The sequence below is a fragment of the Homo sapiens genome, chromosome X (assembly GCF_000001405.40).
Source record: "Homo sapiens chromosome X, GRCh38.p14 Primary Assembly".
Taxonomy (NCBI): Eukaryota; Metazoa; Chordata; class Mammalia; order Primates; family Hominidae; genus Homo; species Homo sapiens.
The window spans coordinates 45096469-45113628 of record NC_000023.11 but is presented as its reverse complement, the minus strand read 5'-3'; the positions used below and the strand labels follow the sequence as shown (position 1 = coordinate 45113628).

Sequence of the window (17160 nt, the reverse complement as noted above, 5' to 3'; positions counted from 1 at the left end):
TCTCTTAAATGTCAGATAATTTATCTAAATGCCAGATAACTTATTCTCTTAAATGTCAGATAAATTAATCTTGGCAATAAACTATCTTAAAATCATAGAAAATAAGACATTGTGTCAGTAAGATAAACTAGAACAGGTTAAGAAACATTTAGGTGGTGCTTCAGCATTCTTATAATCTTTGCTTCTTGATGGTTGGCTTGCAATTTTTGTTTGCAAAAATGTTTGTCTTGAGTTCTCAATAACCTTTGGATAGGAGATTTTACAAGAAAACCACTTAAAAATATTAGTGATTAAATGTCCTGAATAGCATTTAGACAAGCATTCTTGCTCCATAATTAAAATAGATTTGGCATTTTTCCCTTAAATTATAAATAAGAGATGATTACTTCTAGTAGATAGCCAATATTTACCAAATTATTAACTAATCGAAAAAAGTATCTCCATGCTTTCAACCTTCAAACTGTTTCTAAGAGGATAACATACTCTAAATCTGAAAGAGTATGTGATTAATGCAATCAGCAGGGCATTTCACTAGATAGAATAAGCTCTCTTTAGCCATATATATATATAATCTTGATTTACAGCATTCTCTATGCTTCTTCACTAATGCTTCCTGGAAAATTCATACAAAGAACAATATGATTAAATGAGAGTATGTGTCAAATGCGTCAGAAAATGGAGGTACAAATGCAAGGTGCTGTTATTACAAAATGAAATACTATCATTAATTAGCAGTGACTTGTGAATGCTAATATAGATTGCTATATTTTACTAGTGATAGGGAATTTGCAGCACTCCTCCCCCAAATCATGTCATGCAAGCAAAAAAGCATGAGATTTCAAAACTGCCTAACATTAAAAAATAAGTCTCTTAATTTATTTGCATTCTAAAATAGAGCCCTTCATCCTGAATCCCCTTTTCCATATAAAATGGTACTAAGTATTGTACAGGATTTGTCAAGCCCATATAACAGTCCCTTTAAAATCTTAAGTTCAATCACTATTTGTTTTCTACTATTATACTACATTTTGGCAGCAATTGTTTATTGGTCTGTCATTGCAGTAATTGCAACTTAACAATAAACCAGTCTGACATTTTAGGTCTTGAGGATACATACCATATATATTTCTTTAAAAATAATCATACTTTTTGTAAGCAATACTTTACAGTAGACACCTCAAAAATCTACCATAGATGTGAAACTTAAAACGAGAAAAATTTAAGTTCTAAAGATTTATACATATATATCCAGATTTCTATATATATTATATATACATACATAAGTATATATAAAATATATATAATCAGATTTCAAAAATGAACAAAAACTGGGCACTGTACATAAAGTCTTTTTTAAAACTCAAACAATAGAAAACTCTTTAAACATTAAACAATTTTAATAAAAGTTTCTGTACAATGCTAAGCAGTTTTATTTACACATAGAAAATGTAATAGGAGTAGTGTTTGAAATTACAGAACTCCTTAAAATTTCAATGGCAGGTAAATCTGGAAAAAATAACAGCATTCCATTCACAAATATTTTCAAGCAATAAATATGTATTTATAAATAGTGTAAATTTACATCAAGATTAGAAACAAAAATCACAAATCTGAAGTTTATTCCTTAGTCTATGTGCAATCCATTACCTTTGTGACTTGGCTGTTAATTTTTTAAATTTTATTTAGGAACCAAAAGTGTAACCATCATGGTCTCAAAACAAGACAGAAAAACATAAAAGCAGTAAAAAAGTGTCTTACCTAACTTTTCACATTAAAAAAAAGTTGACCAAAGAAAGACTTAAAATTGCTAACTACCTTACAAAGAAATGACCAGCTAGGCTAGTATTTTTTTTCCAAGGAAAATTCTGAAGGGGGAAAAGACAGATGAAAACAAATTCATCAGCCCAGAAATAGAGAAATATAAAAGAGGTTGTCTTCAAGTCAGTAGTCTGTAAGATGTTGCCAGTTTTGTCAGATATATACAAAACATGGAAATTATTATTTTTTTCTGAAGTACAGCTCATCAGCTTTGTGAGAGTCCTGGAGTAGGAGCAGTACTCTCTCCCGTCCAGTTGGTTGACACTCCGCACTTGGAAGGTTGCATAGACACAGTTTTCAGCCAGCAGCCTTACGAGATAGCTACAAAAACCAGTGGTGCAGAACTGGGTTATTTCCTGAATAGCAGAAAAGGTCTCATTTAATGTCCATGGAACAATATCAAGATGAGGCGGATGGTAATGGAGGAGCCTGAAAATAAAAGTAAGGTAGGTTATTTTGATATACAAATTGTTAATAGCTCATGGCTACAAACATATAGTCTGCTTGTGAAGTTAGGGGAAATAACTCTCAAAAAGTTCAACAGCCTGCTATGCAACATAAAAGTACAGCCTACCTTACTATCTCCCATTCAGCCAATCTTCCTAAGAATCTAAGACCATTATCCTACTCAGTGTACTTGCAATTTTCTATACTTCTTCACCAATTAGTCAAAAACTCTTGGAATGTTATTACGTTTACCATTTTTTAAGATTGCTTAAAAAAAGGGGGCTTCTTGCAAAATAATTTAACAAATTACAATTTCACTAGTGACTGCCTTCAGAATCTATCTCAGCTAGGTAATATATTTTCTTCAACATATTTCAGATAATTTTCTTCTTCAAGCAATCTTGAAGACCATTCAAGTGAAAATATCAGAAAGTAAATTTCAAAAAGTTAGTTTCTGATCACATATGTGTGGGAGACAAGTACTGGAGAAAATCAACAATTCATAAATTATCTCTGTGTTTCTATTCATAAAGCTATTGATCTGCGAAAGTAAAATGCTTCCCCCAAGCATCTGCTGTCTGAAATTAAAAACTGTGCAATTTATAAGTATACTTGAATTTCATAAGGTTACATAATATACCAGGAAGTTAAGCTCCATTAAATACTCCCATGAGGTTAATACTTCTGGCAAGGACAAAATTTTAAACAAATACAATTAGCTCTAAAAGCAGAAGTATATTTAAAAGCACACTTACTGATTCATTTTGTGGGCTCTAATAACCTACGTACACAAACATTTTATCAACTGAGATAAAATGACATAAAGGATATGATAGTGTTCTATCTAAAGCACGCAAAGATTTTTAAATGTAATTGTTGTAAAATTATTTAGGCTGGTCTCACCCAGGAAAACTGAAAATGATATATGCCAATTTTATAGGAATAAATACTTGGAAATGGAGGGGGGAATGATATGAATATACCCTCATGCAATATATAATGAGCCAAAGGAAAATTTAAAATATTTCATTACCTCCTACTTATCAGGTGGCAGAGCAAACACTGCTGCTTCATAACCCAGCTAACTATGTACTCACATGTTGATTTGACTTACTAATGTAAATTGGTCATAGACTTGCATCAGGTCCTCCATTTTGTACTGTTCTAGCACCACAAAGTTTTCCAAGTTTCCGCTTGTTTTTCGTGCACAATCTTGGCAATGTACTATGTAGGTCTTTCGTGAATTACTCTCATTAGTGACAAAAAGCAGATCAAAAACCTCCACCTGTTTTATACAAGAGAAAAACGTATTCAATAGAGATAGTGGTATTTACTGTACTGCTTTAGTATAATCATGGAATTCTACTTGAATGAAATTGTGGACAGTGATCTCTGGTTAAGAGTAGGTGGTAAGAAAAACATGGCTGTGTTTGAGAATCTTTAACAGACCAGGTTTATTTTGCACCAAATCCAAAGACATGGGTAGTAATGCATATTTAGGGGAATAATCAAAGGGAATGACATACTCATGACAACCACTGGCAAAGCCCAGTTCAAAAGTTTGATAAAGGTCAACCTATTTTTAAATCTAAAACATTAGTATACAATCAGACATAAGTGATCATTTTTATGTATTCATGAGTACAGCATGATTTTAGAAATAATACCTCTATCTTATACAGAAAGATTGATGAGTTGCTAGGGTTCAGGTAGGATAAGGAACAACACACCTAACTGGAATCTATCTGATCTCCTAATGACTCACTTTGGTCAGGCCATATGACATTTAAAAAAAAAATCAATGGATTCTATCATTTCAAATAAAGGTTGATGCTAGAATTACAGAATTTCAAGGTTTGAAATGGACCATCAACATCCTGTCTTTGGCTTATCCTTAAATTTCTTCAATGACAGAAAACTCTTATGATCCCATGTCTTCTTTTAACAGTTAACTACAATCCTAGAGTTCACCATGTTATCCATTACTGTCAACAAGCAGCAATACAAACCTAGTGACCTGAGCTAGAAAATTGGTGAGCATTCTTCAACTTGTCCTTCCACTTCTGCCATTTAATGAGGTGTCTCGCTGATTTTACCCTCTAAATATTTTTGAATTCTTTCCCTTCTTTAATATTCCCATTGCCAGGTTCTAGTCTAGGCCTTAAAATAACTTTTTTTTTTTTACAGGTACTTTATTTATTTATTTATTTATTTATTTATTTATTATTATTATTATTTTTTTAAATTATACTTTAAGTTTTAGGGTACATGTGCACATTGTGCAGGTTAGTTACATATGTATACATGTGCCATGGTGGTGCGCTGCACCCACTAACTCATCATCTAGCATTAGGTATATCTCCCAGTGCTATCCCTCCCCCCTCCCCCCATCCCACAACAGTCCCCAGAGTGTGATGTTCCCCTTCCTGTGTCCATGTGATCTCACTGTTCAATTCCCACCTATGAGTGAGAATGTGCGGTGTTTGGTTTTTTGTTCTTGCGATAGTTTACTGAGAATGATGGTTTCCAATTTCATCCATGTCCCTACAAAGGACATGAACTCATCATTTTTTATGGCTGCATAGTATTCCATGGTGTATATGTGCCACATTTTCTTAATCCAGTCTATCATTGTTGGACATTTGGGTTGGTTCCAAGTCTTTGCTATTGTGAATAATGCTGCAATAAACATACGTGTGCATGTGTCTTTATAGCAGCATGATTTATAGTCATTTGGGTATATACCCAGTAATGGGATGGCTGGGTCAAATGGTATTTCTAGTTCTAGATCCCTGAGGAATCGCCACACTGACTTCCACAATGGTTGAACTAGTTTACAGTCCCATAACTCTTAAGACCACTGCAATAGCTTATATATCGCTGTCCTTTCCAACCACTTTTCTCCCTGAAACACATATCTTACTTACCCTTAGTTGCCTGCTCAAAACCTTTTAATGGCTTCAATAACCTTGGAATATCAAATTCCTTAAAACCATTCAAGATGTGCTATAAATTAAATGCCACCTAGACTTATGAGCGGAATTTGCACAGTCTGTGTTCCAGCCAAATCGGAACACATTCAACCTTTTCTAAAACCATTTCATTTCCCTGTTCTCTTCTTGTGCCTATAGCCCATGACAGTCTACCTCCGATTCTCATCACTTTTTTAGTCTACTTGATATCATACTCTTTTTTCCAAGGATGGACTCAAATGCTAATACGTTTGTGAGTTCTTATGCCAATACTAGAAGAAAAAATTAGGTCATTTTCCCCCTCAGTGTTATCATTAACAGGAAGTCCAACTTCACATTCATCATAGTCTCATGTACATTACAATTAGTTGTTTATAATCTGTCTGCTCCAAGTAGAATTTAAGCTCCTTCATAGGAGGCACCACATCTTTGTTCCTGCACCTCTTGCAAGCCTTGGCCACACAAGATTGACAAATGTATTGTTAATTGCACCAGAGAGGACTGATAATCGATCTGCCTAGAGTTACACCAAACATCCAGTTTATTGGCATCTGTGTACATCTAGATTGTTCTTAGTTTAAAATCTCAGACTAAATTTGCTGATTATTGTCTGTTGAAGATCTACCACAAAAATGACTCTGCAGTAGATACTTTTAAGGTTAATTCACAGTGAAATATCATTATTATCACACTGAATTTTAATATAATGGCTAAGCAACAAAATTGAATCCAATGTTAATTACTATAAACTGGATTACATAAAAGTATAAAAAAGTTTTTTAAAAATAAAGAGAAACCAACAGTGGAGAGGGAAGAGGCTTTATAAAACAACTGTGGATAAAAACAATTACTTACTTCACAAATGCTACAGTAATGAGCTGGTTCTTCTTTTGTCCGCCCATGCCATATAATCTCTTTTCCTGCAGCAATGAGAGCTTCCCTCAATGTCTGACATTGCTTCAGAGTTCTTAGAAGACAATACCTATTGTGGGGGAGAAATTATTTGTGACCAGCAACTGAATATTGAATATTTTTAGCATAAAAGATATACCAACTAGAAATAATGCCAAGAGACTTGATTCTAATGTCTATGACTTCATAATTTTTCTTTCATCAATTTATCAAATATTCTCAGATTTTAAAATGACAATGCTCAGCAGGCCTGATGAAGACAATATTAAAACATTTAAAGTTGAGAAAAGTAATATCTGGATATCAAAATATAATGGTCTTAGTACATAAAAACTGACTCCCTGCTTAAATGTGAGTTGCTAATTTTGGCTCTTAATTTGGGCAAGTCAGTTAACCTCTCTGGGAGTCAATTTCCTCATCCGTGAAATAAGGGGTATGAATTCCAGATATGAACTTCTATGATTCTAGTAAGGCAGGAAGGCACATTATTTTTTTTTTAATCAACACTACCTAAACACTCATTAACAGCATCATCTGTACAGCTGCTTTTGAAACTCAAGTCTATAAGCAGAAAAAATATTTATGAATTTAGTCACTACAGGATACAATATTCGTTTAACTATAATACTAAAGAAAAAAGTATGTCTTCATTTTATCTTGAAGGTAACAGTGGAATCCATTCATATTAAAACAATTTAACTTTTCTTATAACTTCTACCTTTTCTAAACTCATACTTAGGATGCTAACAACATAGTAAATTCTCACAATTTGTACTGATTCTCCTATAATTTTCTGTCATTACTTGGAGTTGTTTGCTCAATTATCTTACTCTCCTGTGAATCTTAGTGGCTCAGGTTCTCCATTTGAACGGAGAGGTTGAACTAGATGATCTCTAAGGCACTTTTCAGCTCTAAAATTCGGAGACAATGAAAATATCCTAAAGAAAAGGAAATGGGTTTAGCAACTGAGTGTTGTCTTGAAAGCAAAGGTCTTATCTATTTTATTCCTGCTATCTACTTATCTACTCACCACCTAGGGCAGTGCCTAGCATATAGTAGCTTAATCAATACACAACTAAAATTCAAATAAGTACTAAAATATTTAATATACCTTATTTTATATTTCTTTGCTATTTTATACGTTACTATGTTAAAGTATTGTTATGTATCAGAACCCGTGTATATTAACCTGGTGGTGGGTGGGGAGGTGGGGAATGACTAAAAACATTTGTAAAACCTGTTAGCTTACTTAACAAATATAAAACAATATCAATTTTATAGTTGTAGGTCAATTCCTTAAGTGCAATATTCAAAGATTGCACTCTCAGCTTGGCTTCAACAATTCTTGCATATTTAACTTATTTAGAAACAAAAACATTGCTTTAGACCAGCGGTCCCCAACCTTTTTAGCACCAGAGATCAGTTTCGTGGAAGATGAGTTTTTCCACAGACCTAGGGGAAGGGGCGGGGGGGAATGGTTTTGGGATGAAATTGTTCCACCTCAGATCATCAGGCATTAGCTTCGCATAAGGAGCAAGGAACCCAGATGCCTTGCATGTGCAGTTCACAGTAGTGTTCCTGCTCCTATGAGAATCTAATAACACTACTGATCTGAAAGGAGCTGGAGCTCAAGCAGTAATGCCAGCTTGCCTGCTGCTCACCTCCTGCTGTGCAGCTCGGTTCCTAACAGGCGAAGGACTGATACTGGTCTGCAGCCCAGGGGTTGGGGACCCCTGCTTTAGCCTGTGGCTGTGTGTCAAGGTTAGGACAGCTATTGATGTGTGCATGCGTGCCTGTATAGGGCACCAGGGAAGGTAGCAAGTAAAAATTTAGATCATAGCAAAGAGAGAATATAATTCAGACTCTGTCTCTAGCTCTTGAATAGCACCTGCTCCTCTTTGTCCCTCCTCATGTCCCATACAATTCACTTCTAAAGATACAGATCTTACTGAACAAGTTTTCCAAGTAGGGCTTCAAAATAAGGTCTCTTACAGGAAAATAATGCCTAAAACTCTGTAGATACCATTGGAAGACTTCAAACTCAACTGTCCTTCCACATGGCCAAACAAAAATAATATAATAAAAGCAAATAAAAAATAAGAACCAGACAGGGGCCATGTATTTGCTATTTCATATACATTATGCCAAGTAAGCCTCCTAACAACCCTGGGAGAAAGGTTATCTCTATCTTGCAAATGGGGAAAAAGGAGCGCAGAGAAGTTAAGTTTGTCTAATGTCATAAAGCTATTTAAGTGGTTGAGCTATGAGTTTTTAAAAGAAAATCTCAAGCTTCCCCCTTACTATCTCACACTGTAACCCTTCTTTTTGGTCTCCTCACATCTTATTATCACCCACTCCCCCTCGAAGATGAGATTCTTGGGCTCAGGAAGCACAGTTTTTCCAAACACAGAGCCTTGGTTCTATGGAGTATCAGGCTACTTGTTACTCAGCAGATAAATTTTCATCTTCAATGCCACTGACTACACTGGCACTTAGACTGTAAATTTACAATGTATTGTTAGTTTGGTAGTTTCATCTTAAAAAAGGCAGTATACTGATTTCCTGCAAATAACAAGGGGTCTGAGATAAGGTTGCTAAGAATAAATATTAAGCCATAAGTAGTCAGTCTGCTTCTGGAATAAATTCTGCTCCAGAATTTATATTTTATATTTTGTGTGATACCAAAATCTTAGAAAACTGACAGTTCTATTAATCTTATCTGATGATGAATAACAAAACTGTGATTTCTGCTTGCCTTTACTTTTTTAACATTGGAAATTTTTGTTCCTTCGCCTTTTCAAAAGGCAGCACTTGGAACAGAAGAATTTAGAGAGAGAGAGGCTCTTATGGAGTCCACAGTAATGAGCAAGTCCTAAAAAAGAAAGAATGTGATTCAATTGAAGGATAGGGAAAAATAGAAAGCAAAGTGATTTAGGGAAAGGATCGTAGTAAAGAAACATATAATATTTAAGACTTAAATGATAACCTGTTCTGCTTTGATTAGCCCCAGACTGATTTTATACAAAGACAACATTTAAGTACATTAAAGAGCTAAAAAATAAAAGCTAAACAAAATCAGGATTCTCATTTCCTCTTAATTTTAGTTTTGCTGAATTTCTGTAAGTTTACCTTATGGTAATTAAGAATTCAATTTGAGGGCTGGGCGCGGTGGCTCGCGCCTGTAATCCCAGCACTTTGGCAGGCCGAGACGGGTGATCACCTGAGGTTGGGAGTTTGAGACCAGCCTGACCAACATGGAGAAACCCCGTCTCTACTAAACATACAAAATTAGCCAGGTGTGGTGGCATATGCCTGTAATCCCAGCTACTGGGGAGGCTGAGGCAGAAGAATTGCTTGAATCCGGGAGGTGGAGGTTGTGGTGAGACGAGATCGCACCATTGCACTCCAGCCTGGGCAACAAGAGCGAAACTCCGTCTCAAAAAAAAAAAAAAAAAGAATTCAATTTGCTAAAAACAGAAGAATAAATCATTTGCAAAAGGTGTAAACACATAGAAGATGGAAAATGCTATTTTGCATACGTGTACTTTAGAAACAAGGTCAAAAATGATTTCAACAGCTAGAAAAGCAGGAAATTCTTTGACGTTTAAGGATCAGTATTGGTTTCAGGACCCAATCCCTGTTTTTAGTTGTTTCGATGAAAGACTACACAAAAAGGCAGGGGACAAAGGAAGTTCCAGAATGGAAGAAAACCATGAGGAAGAAGCTGATTGAGAGCTTGGCATATTTGAGGTTATATACTAGAATCTAATCCAACCAAAAAGTGATCTGCAAAGATGAAGCTTAAAGAGCGATAGAATTTTAGAGAACAACTTCACACAGGGAATAGAATGAAAATACACTTGCAATATTAGAACAAGAGAACTGAATAAAATAATATGTAGACAAATTATCAAAAGCCTTATATTTATGGGCAATTAATGCACAATATATTCATAAATCAATACATGAGGACATTAGGCAAAAAATAAACATAGTATGCTATGGATACTAAAAGGAGAGCGAGAGATCATCTTCAGGTGAGGGGAGGTAGAGAATCACATAAGTTTTCAAACAGAAGTTGAAATTTCTGAATCAATTTACTTAATTGATTATGAACAGGAAAAAGAGTTGGGGGAAGGCACACTCGGTACAGAAAGAATGCCACAAGAAGGTAGTATGGGGGCTTCTTTGGGGAACAAACAACTGTTCTTACAAGATTTTAATCTTCGCATGACGTTTCTGGGGCAGGAAGTAACAGGAATGAAGCCATAATAATATTATATTACATCAAAGTTAAGACAACACTGGGGGTTACTCTGACATTCTAATGGCAATGTGACTCAGTTTCCAAAGTAAGTTACCAAATATCAATGTGAAGATAGATGAAATATGGGTTAACTTGGTACTGCACTTTTAAATGCTTTATGGTAACAGTCTCAGCCACTGAGAAGTAGATAACTTAACGAACACCAAGAGGTGCCTTGCTCTGCCTAGTCTCCCTTACTGAAAGAGCCATGCAGGAAAAGCAAGCCAACATATGAGCTCTGAAAACTCTCTTGCCACCTGTCACTCCAGGGTTGTGTTCTCCTAGGACAATAGTGGGTATATGAATGTCAATAAGGCATCTAACAGTTTTATTTACACCAACCACATGGCTGAAAATCAAGGTCTCAGTCAATGAAAAAACGCATATCTTAAGAACTTTAAGCTCCTAGATGGGGGGAAAAAAGCATGAAAGCAAATACATATATATTAACCATGAGAATGCAGTTTTAGAATTTTTAGATTTTGTTTGGTCATTGTTATCAAAAAGCATTATATATCAAACCCAACAGAGTATTAGAAGACCACCAGGACTACAGCACTACATCACTAGGATCAATGCTAACTATGGACTGGTCTTTATGGCTATACCATTATCTACGCATAGTGTTGGAAAAATCTTGGTCCATTATTAGGTCAAATGGGTGTGGACTAAAGAGTTGTATAACACCATATTTATCCATTTAAATAAGGGAATCAAAGAGAAAAGGGAGTTAATACTTATGAGTTCGCTTTAATTTACATTTTGAAATTCTGTGTTTGTGATAAAGTATATTTTATGTAGGTAGGTAAGGTAATAACCTATAATGTATGTGAAAGAAAAGGGAGCAAAGAAATTCTTAGTTCTAAAAAAGACCTAATTTGTCTGATAAGATTCACTAGGCCACCATGAAAAAGGTTCCCAGAGTTCTTTGCATAGAGCTCTGAAAACCTATTTTAATAAGAGTTCCAGGTGATTCTTGTGATCAGCAAGTGAGAGAACCAGTGCAAACCTCTTACTTCGTAAGTGTCAAAATTAAAACCAATGTCTCAGATTTGTAGTGTATTTTTCAATAGACTGGTAAAATATCAACTTCACGAATCACTGTGTTTTTAGGATTAGAGCCTTTAAGAGACCATAGAAAGAGCTGTAGAGTGGGCAAGAGCAGATTCTATACCTAGACTGTCTGGGTTCAAATTCCAGCTGCACACCTCTGTGCCTCAGTTTCCTCAGCTGAAAAAAGGGGATATTTAACTTACAGTGCTGTTATGAGGATTACATATGTTATATAAAATGCTTAGACTTGTGCCTGGCAGTTAATGCTCAATAAATGTTAATTATTTGAACTTGACATGTCAAATTCCTAAACTGTATTAAAATAATCATATAATTACTAAATTAAAGTTATTTAATTTGAAAAAATTGTATGATGAATGCCAACTCAAAGTATAATAGTTAACACACCAAAAAGAAAATGAAATAAAGTTATTCAAAAGGTGTTTAGTCTGGATTCCATTAGATTAGATAAGGGTTTTTCAATCTCAGCACTATTGGTATGGTAATTCTTTGTTATGGGGAGCTGTCTTGTGCCCTGCAGGATATTTAATAGCAGCATTCCTAATCTCTACTCAAAAAAGCTAGTAGCATCTCTCCCACTCAAGTCATGATATTGGCATATGTCCCCTGGGAAAGGAAAGTGGGGGGAGGAAAAATTGTCCACATTTGAGAAGCACTACACTAGGTCCAAGAATATTAATTAAAAAAATAGAAGGTAATTGGGGTTTCTATAAAATAATAATAATTACAACAACTACCATTTACTGAATGCTTATCGTATGCTAAGACTCACATAACAGTCATAAAAGTTATTTTAGAAAGACAGTATTATCCCCATTTTTCAGAAGAGGAAATAAAGACTAATAGGTTTAGCAATCTGTCCGCAGTTCCCCAGCCAATAAATGAAGAAGCTAAGATATGAAGGCAGATTGGATTCCAGAAACTACACAATGCTGCCCTTCCTGTAATATCTTACTGGGATATTAAATAGCATAGACTCTAAGACTTAGGAAAATAAAAATGGATGGGCAAACATCGAACACATAGTGATCACATATACACAAAAGGCACAGAGAAAGCACATAAAACATTAACATTGTGCATATAAGATGGCACATTTAAAAACTGAAATATTGGCCAGGCATGGTGGCTCATGCCTGTTAATCCTAGCACTTTGGGAGGCCGAGGCAGGGGGATCCCTTGAGCCCAGGAGTTTGAGACCAGCCTGGGCAACATGGGGAGATCCTGTCTTTATTTTTTTAATTAAAAAAAAAAAGAAGAAAGAAAAAGAAAAAATATAAAACAGTGCTTTATAAGATGGTCAAAAGAATAACAAAATAATATGACAAGAAATTAAGTTTGTGCAAGAGTGGTTTTCAATGAGCTTGGCACTGTTGAAATTGAAGAGAATTTATTTTCAAACATTGGCTTATATGTTATTAGCATTTTTAGAATGTGTTAGTGTCTGGCAGATTACAGGGGCGTAAGACAAATGAATGTGTATCCTCAAAATTAACTTTCTACTCCTCAGCATACTATTTGATATGCTCCTCCTAAATCTGAGACTTCCTAACATTAAACTTTTCAGAGGAAAATGCACTCCTTGGCATTCTGTTTTTGACATATTTTAAAATTTACTAAATTACTTATCGTGGTGATTTAAGTGAACTCACAAAGTTGCTGGTGAATAAACCAAAGTTTCCAATGTATTGAAAACATACTACCATTGCACTAACTTGACAACAGTCCAACATGACTGTAACAACTTATGGCATATTTGCTGGGGGTCGGCTTTATCAACTGCACCTGTAAGTCTATTTATTCTGAAAGCCTGTTATCTACAGGGAACTCTCATCAGTACCAACAGTCTGCAGAGCTCATCTCCTGCACTAACACTTGATTCCTTTCAAATGTCCTGTTAAAAAAAATACTTCAGAGGCAAAACAAGGAATGTATGAGTCTTATGAAAATGACGTAAAGCGTCTTAGTATTGTACAAAGAGAAAAATAAAATATAACCCAAAGTACTGTATCTCAAATACCTTAAAATGGGAATCATGAATTTGCAGAGGGGTTTTTTTTTTTTTTGAGACAGAGTCTTGCTCCGTCGCCCAGACTAGAGTGCAGTGGCACAATCTCGGCTCACTGCAACCTCCACTTCCCGAGTTCAAGTGATTCTCCTGCCTAAGCCTCCCAAGTAGCTGGGACTACAGGCGTGTGCCACCACACCCAGCTAATTTTTTGTAGTTTTAGTAGAGACGGGGTTTCACCATGTCAGCCAGGATGGTCTCGATCTCCTGACCTTGTGATCTGCCCGACTTGGCCTCCCAAAGTGTTGGGATTATAGGCGTGAGCCACCGCACCCAGTGAGGGTTTCTTTTAAATCTTAATCTACCAGTCGTAAAATTAAAGCCACAGGATAAAAACCATATACTATGAAAAAGATGGACTAGAAAGTAACAATAATCTCCTCACCCCTAATTTTAAGTTTTAAAATTGCCTTTTTAAAGTAAAACTTAATTTACTCAGGACCCACTAAGGAAGATATCTCTGACATAGTTTATACTGGAGTGAGGCAGGAGTTTAACAAAAGTAAACATCATTAGTAGTTTTTGTCAAAAATTTACCCTAAATACAATTATGAGAAAACAAATCCAGAATGTAGAACTCTGCACAACACAAAGGTCTGCTGTCTTCAAGAAGAAAATGTCATTAAAAAAAGACTTTCGTAGGTTTAAGAGACTAAAGAAGACACAATGACTACATATTCAATTAAATGTGAACCTTAATTCAATAGGGAGAGGCAAGTGCTTAAAAAAAAAAAAAGACATTTTTGGATAGTTGGGGAAATCTAAATGTGGACTGTGTATTAACTCATACTATGGAATTTCTTATTTCCTAGATATGGTAAATCGTATTACAGGTATGTAGGAGAATAACCTTATTCTTAAGATGCAGGATGAAGTATCTGAAGTGATATGTCATGATGTCTGCAAATTACTTTTTCATAGAGCTCATATGAAAAAGCACGTGCAAGCATGTATGTGTATACAGAGACCGCTAAATAAATGTGGCAAAAACTTAACTGATGAATCCAGATGAGGTTACACAGGTATTCGCTGTACTACTCTTTCAACTTTTTTTGTAGGTTTAAGAAATTTCAAAGTAAAAGTTGGAGGAAAAAGTATAAACAAGTTGGGGAGGAGGGCAGTGATGTGTTATACATGTAAATTTTATATATTTTAAAGGAGACTAGATATATTAACCTAGAAAAACCATCATAGTTGAATGAATTAAAGGAGATCAGTACCCTTGATCTTAAAGTTTTCCTTTATTCATTTCTTTGTATGGGCACTGCTCTACCTTAAAAATAACTAATGGTTCGGAAAACTCAACAGCTAATACCTTAGCAGTGATTGCCTATCAGCCAGCTGAGGGCTACAAATGTATTATCTCAGACTCCTTTTCTAAGCAATAGAACCATACATCCATCTAGCTGTTATTTAATAGAAATTTCAACTTAAATCTTGTAGGAGCAATTCAAGTTCTGCATGTCTAAAGCTAGTCAAGTTGATAACCATCATTCTCTACACCCAACTCATTTCTTCTTTATCTCCAGTTTCAACAACAAGCACAAATGTTCCACTGTCTGGCCCAAGCCAAAGTCCAGCGATACAGATTTCTCGCTCAACTCTACCACCAATCAATTACCAAGTGTAGTCTATTTTACCCTCTAATCTTTGTCTCTCCTTTTGTCTGAACTGGAGCAATTACCTTCTAATTTATGTCTCTAAATCTTCTGCCTTCCATTTAATGCTTCATCTTGCTACCAAGTGATCCAACATGCAAATTTGACCATTATTTAAAATATTAAAAATGATAAAGACTTCTCATTGGCAGTCATTGCCAATGTGAAGTCTACCTGAAATTTTTAGCAACAAAAGTTTAAATCTATCTTCAGCTAATATGAACACACAAGTATGGCATAAACCAGGGAAAGACACTTAAAGTTTGGTCTAAAGGAGAAATTAAGTTCATTTGCAGAGAAAAGTTATTTCATTTAAATAGTTAAATGAAGTCAAAAGAGAAAGTTATCCACTGAGCTGCCACTTAAATTTTCCTAAGTAGTTAGGTTGTGAACTTTTAAGTCAAGTTCACTGCATTATCAAATGAAAGAAGTAATCAAGATAATATATATTCTTTTGACTTATGCCAACATAGGAAATATCTGGAAGAATGTGAAGCAGAATATGATTAATGTATTTTAGCAAAATGGCTAGGTTGTAGAAATTTGAAGAGATTTACTAAATGACTTACTCAGATAAACAGAACTTTATGGAATCACAGGGTCCTTAAAGACCAGACTTGAACTTGAAAGTGCAGAGAAAAAGCAAGAGTGATACTGATTTGCTTAAGGAAGTACAGGCGATTTATTCTCAAAATGATAATGAGGAATCAGGAGGTGACAACAGAAGAAAACACCATTTCCCATTATTAAATAACCCAGTGCAAATACAGGTTCATAATCCCTTATTATAATCCCACAAATTTTTCATAAATCTTGCATAAACTCATGTGGTGCTGAAATTTGACCTGGGGCTACTTACGGTATTCACTTAGCTCATTAGAGTGACTATTTCTATGTTTTAGTGCTGAAATACTAATATGTTCGTTCCCAGGATACTGCAACAGACCCTGCTGGGAAGGTACGATATATTATAAATGTACTCAATTACCTTTCTAAATCTAAAAAACATTATCTTTTTTTTAACTTTTAAGTTCAGGGGTACATGTGGTCTGTTATAGGTAAGCTTGTGTCATGGGGGTTTGTTGTACAGATTATTTTGTCACCCAGGTATTAAGTCTAGTATCCATTAGTTATTTTTCCTCTCTCTCCTCCCACCCTCCATACTCCAATCGGTCCCAGTGTCTGTTGTTCCCCTCTATGCGTCCATGTGGTCTCATAATTTAGCTCCCACTTATAAGTGAGAACATGTGGCACTTGGTTTTCTGTTTCTGCATTCATTTGCTGAGGATATGGCCTCCAGCTCCATCCATGTTCCTGGAAAAAAGATGATCTCATTCTTATTTTATAGCTGTATAGTAATCCATGGTGTATATATACATTTTCTTTATGCAGTCTACCACTGATGAGCATTTAGGTTGATTCCATGTCTTTGCTATTGTGAATAGTGCTGCAATTAATATATGTGTGCATGTGTCTTTATGATAGAATAATTTATATTCCTTTGGTTATATACTCAGTAATGGGATTGCTGAGTTGAATGGTAGTTCTGCTTTTGGCTCTTTGAGGAATCACTGCACTGCTTTCCACAATGGTTGGACTAATTTACAGTCCCGCCAACAGTGTGTAACTGTTCCTTTTTCTCCACATCCTTGCCAGCACCTGTTATTTTTTAACTTTTTAATAATAGTAATTCTGACTGGTGTGAGATGGTATCTCACTGTGGTTTTTGCTAAATCTAAAAATTCTTAGCTCCAAAACACATTTAGTCTAAAGGGTTTACAATAAGAGACTGCGAAGCTGTAGTACTTCTGGTGAAGCCTTTACTGAACCTTCCACTCTTTCGGAAGAACCTTCCTCTATGCTGCCCCACCATGGTTTCTTACCAATATCTCTATCATTAAAGAT

The 17160-nt window shown here is 35.2% G+C and overlaps 1 protein-coding gene across 22 annotated transcripts in view; it reads right to left on the bottom strand.

The window, feature by feature from the left end:
* The window catches only part of KDM6A (lysine demethylase 6A), a 239592-nt gene continuing 223281 nt past the window's right edge, over positions 850–17160 (bottom strand). For 11 of the 22 annotated variants that reach the window (NR_111960.2, NM_001291415.2, NM_001419813.1 and 8 more), the window contains 3 exons: positions 6093–6219; positions 3380–3550; positions 850–2247 (listed from right to left, as the gene is read on the bottom strand). Coding sequence is in view for 20 of the 22 variants with exons in the window: in NM_001291415.2 (NP_001278344.1) it covers positions 2218–2247; positions 3380–3550; positions 6093–6219 (328 nt within the window). In the remaining 2 variants the exon portion in view is untranslated. Of the gene's footprint in view, positions 2248–3379; positions 3551–6092; positions 6220–6915; positions 7088–17160 lie in introns of those variants that run through there. The other 11 variants (NM_001419809.1, NM_001419810.1, NM_001419812.1 and 8 more) reach the window with 2 other exon arrangements.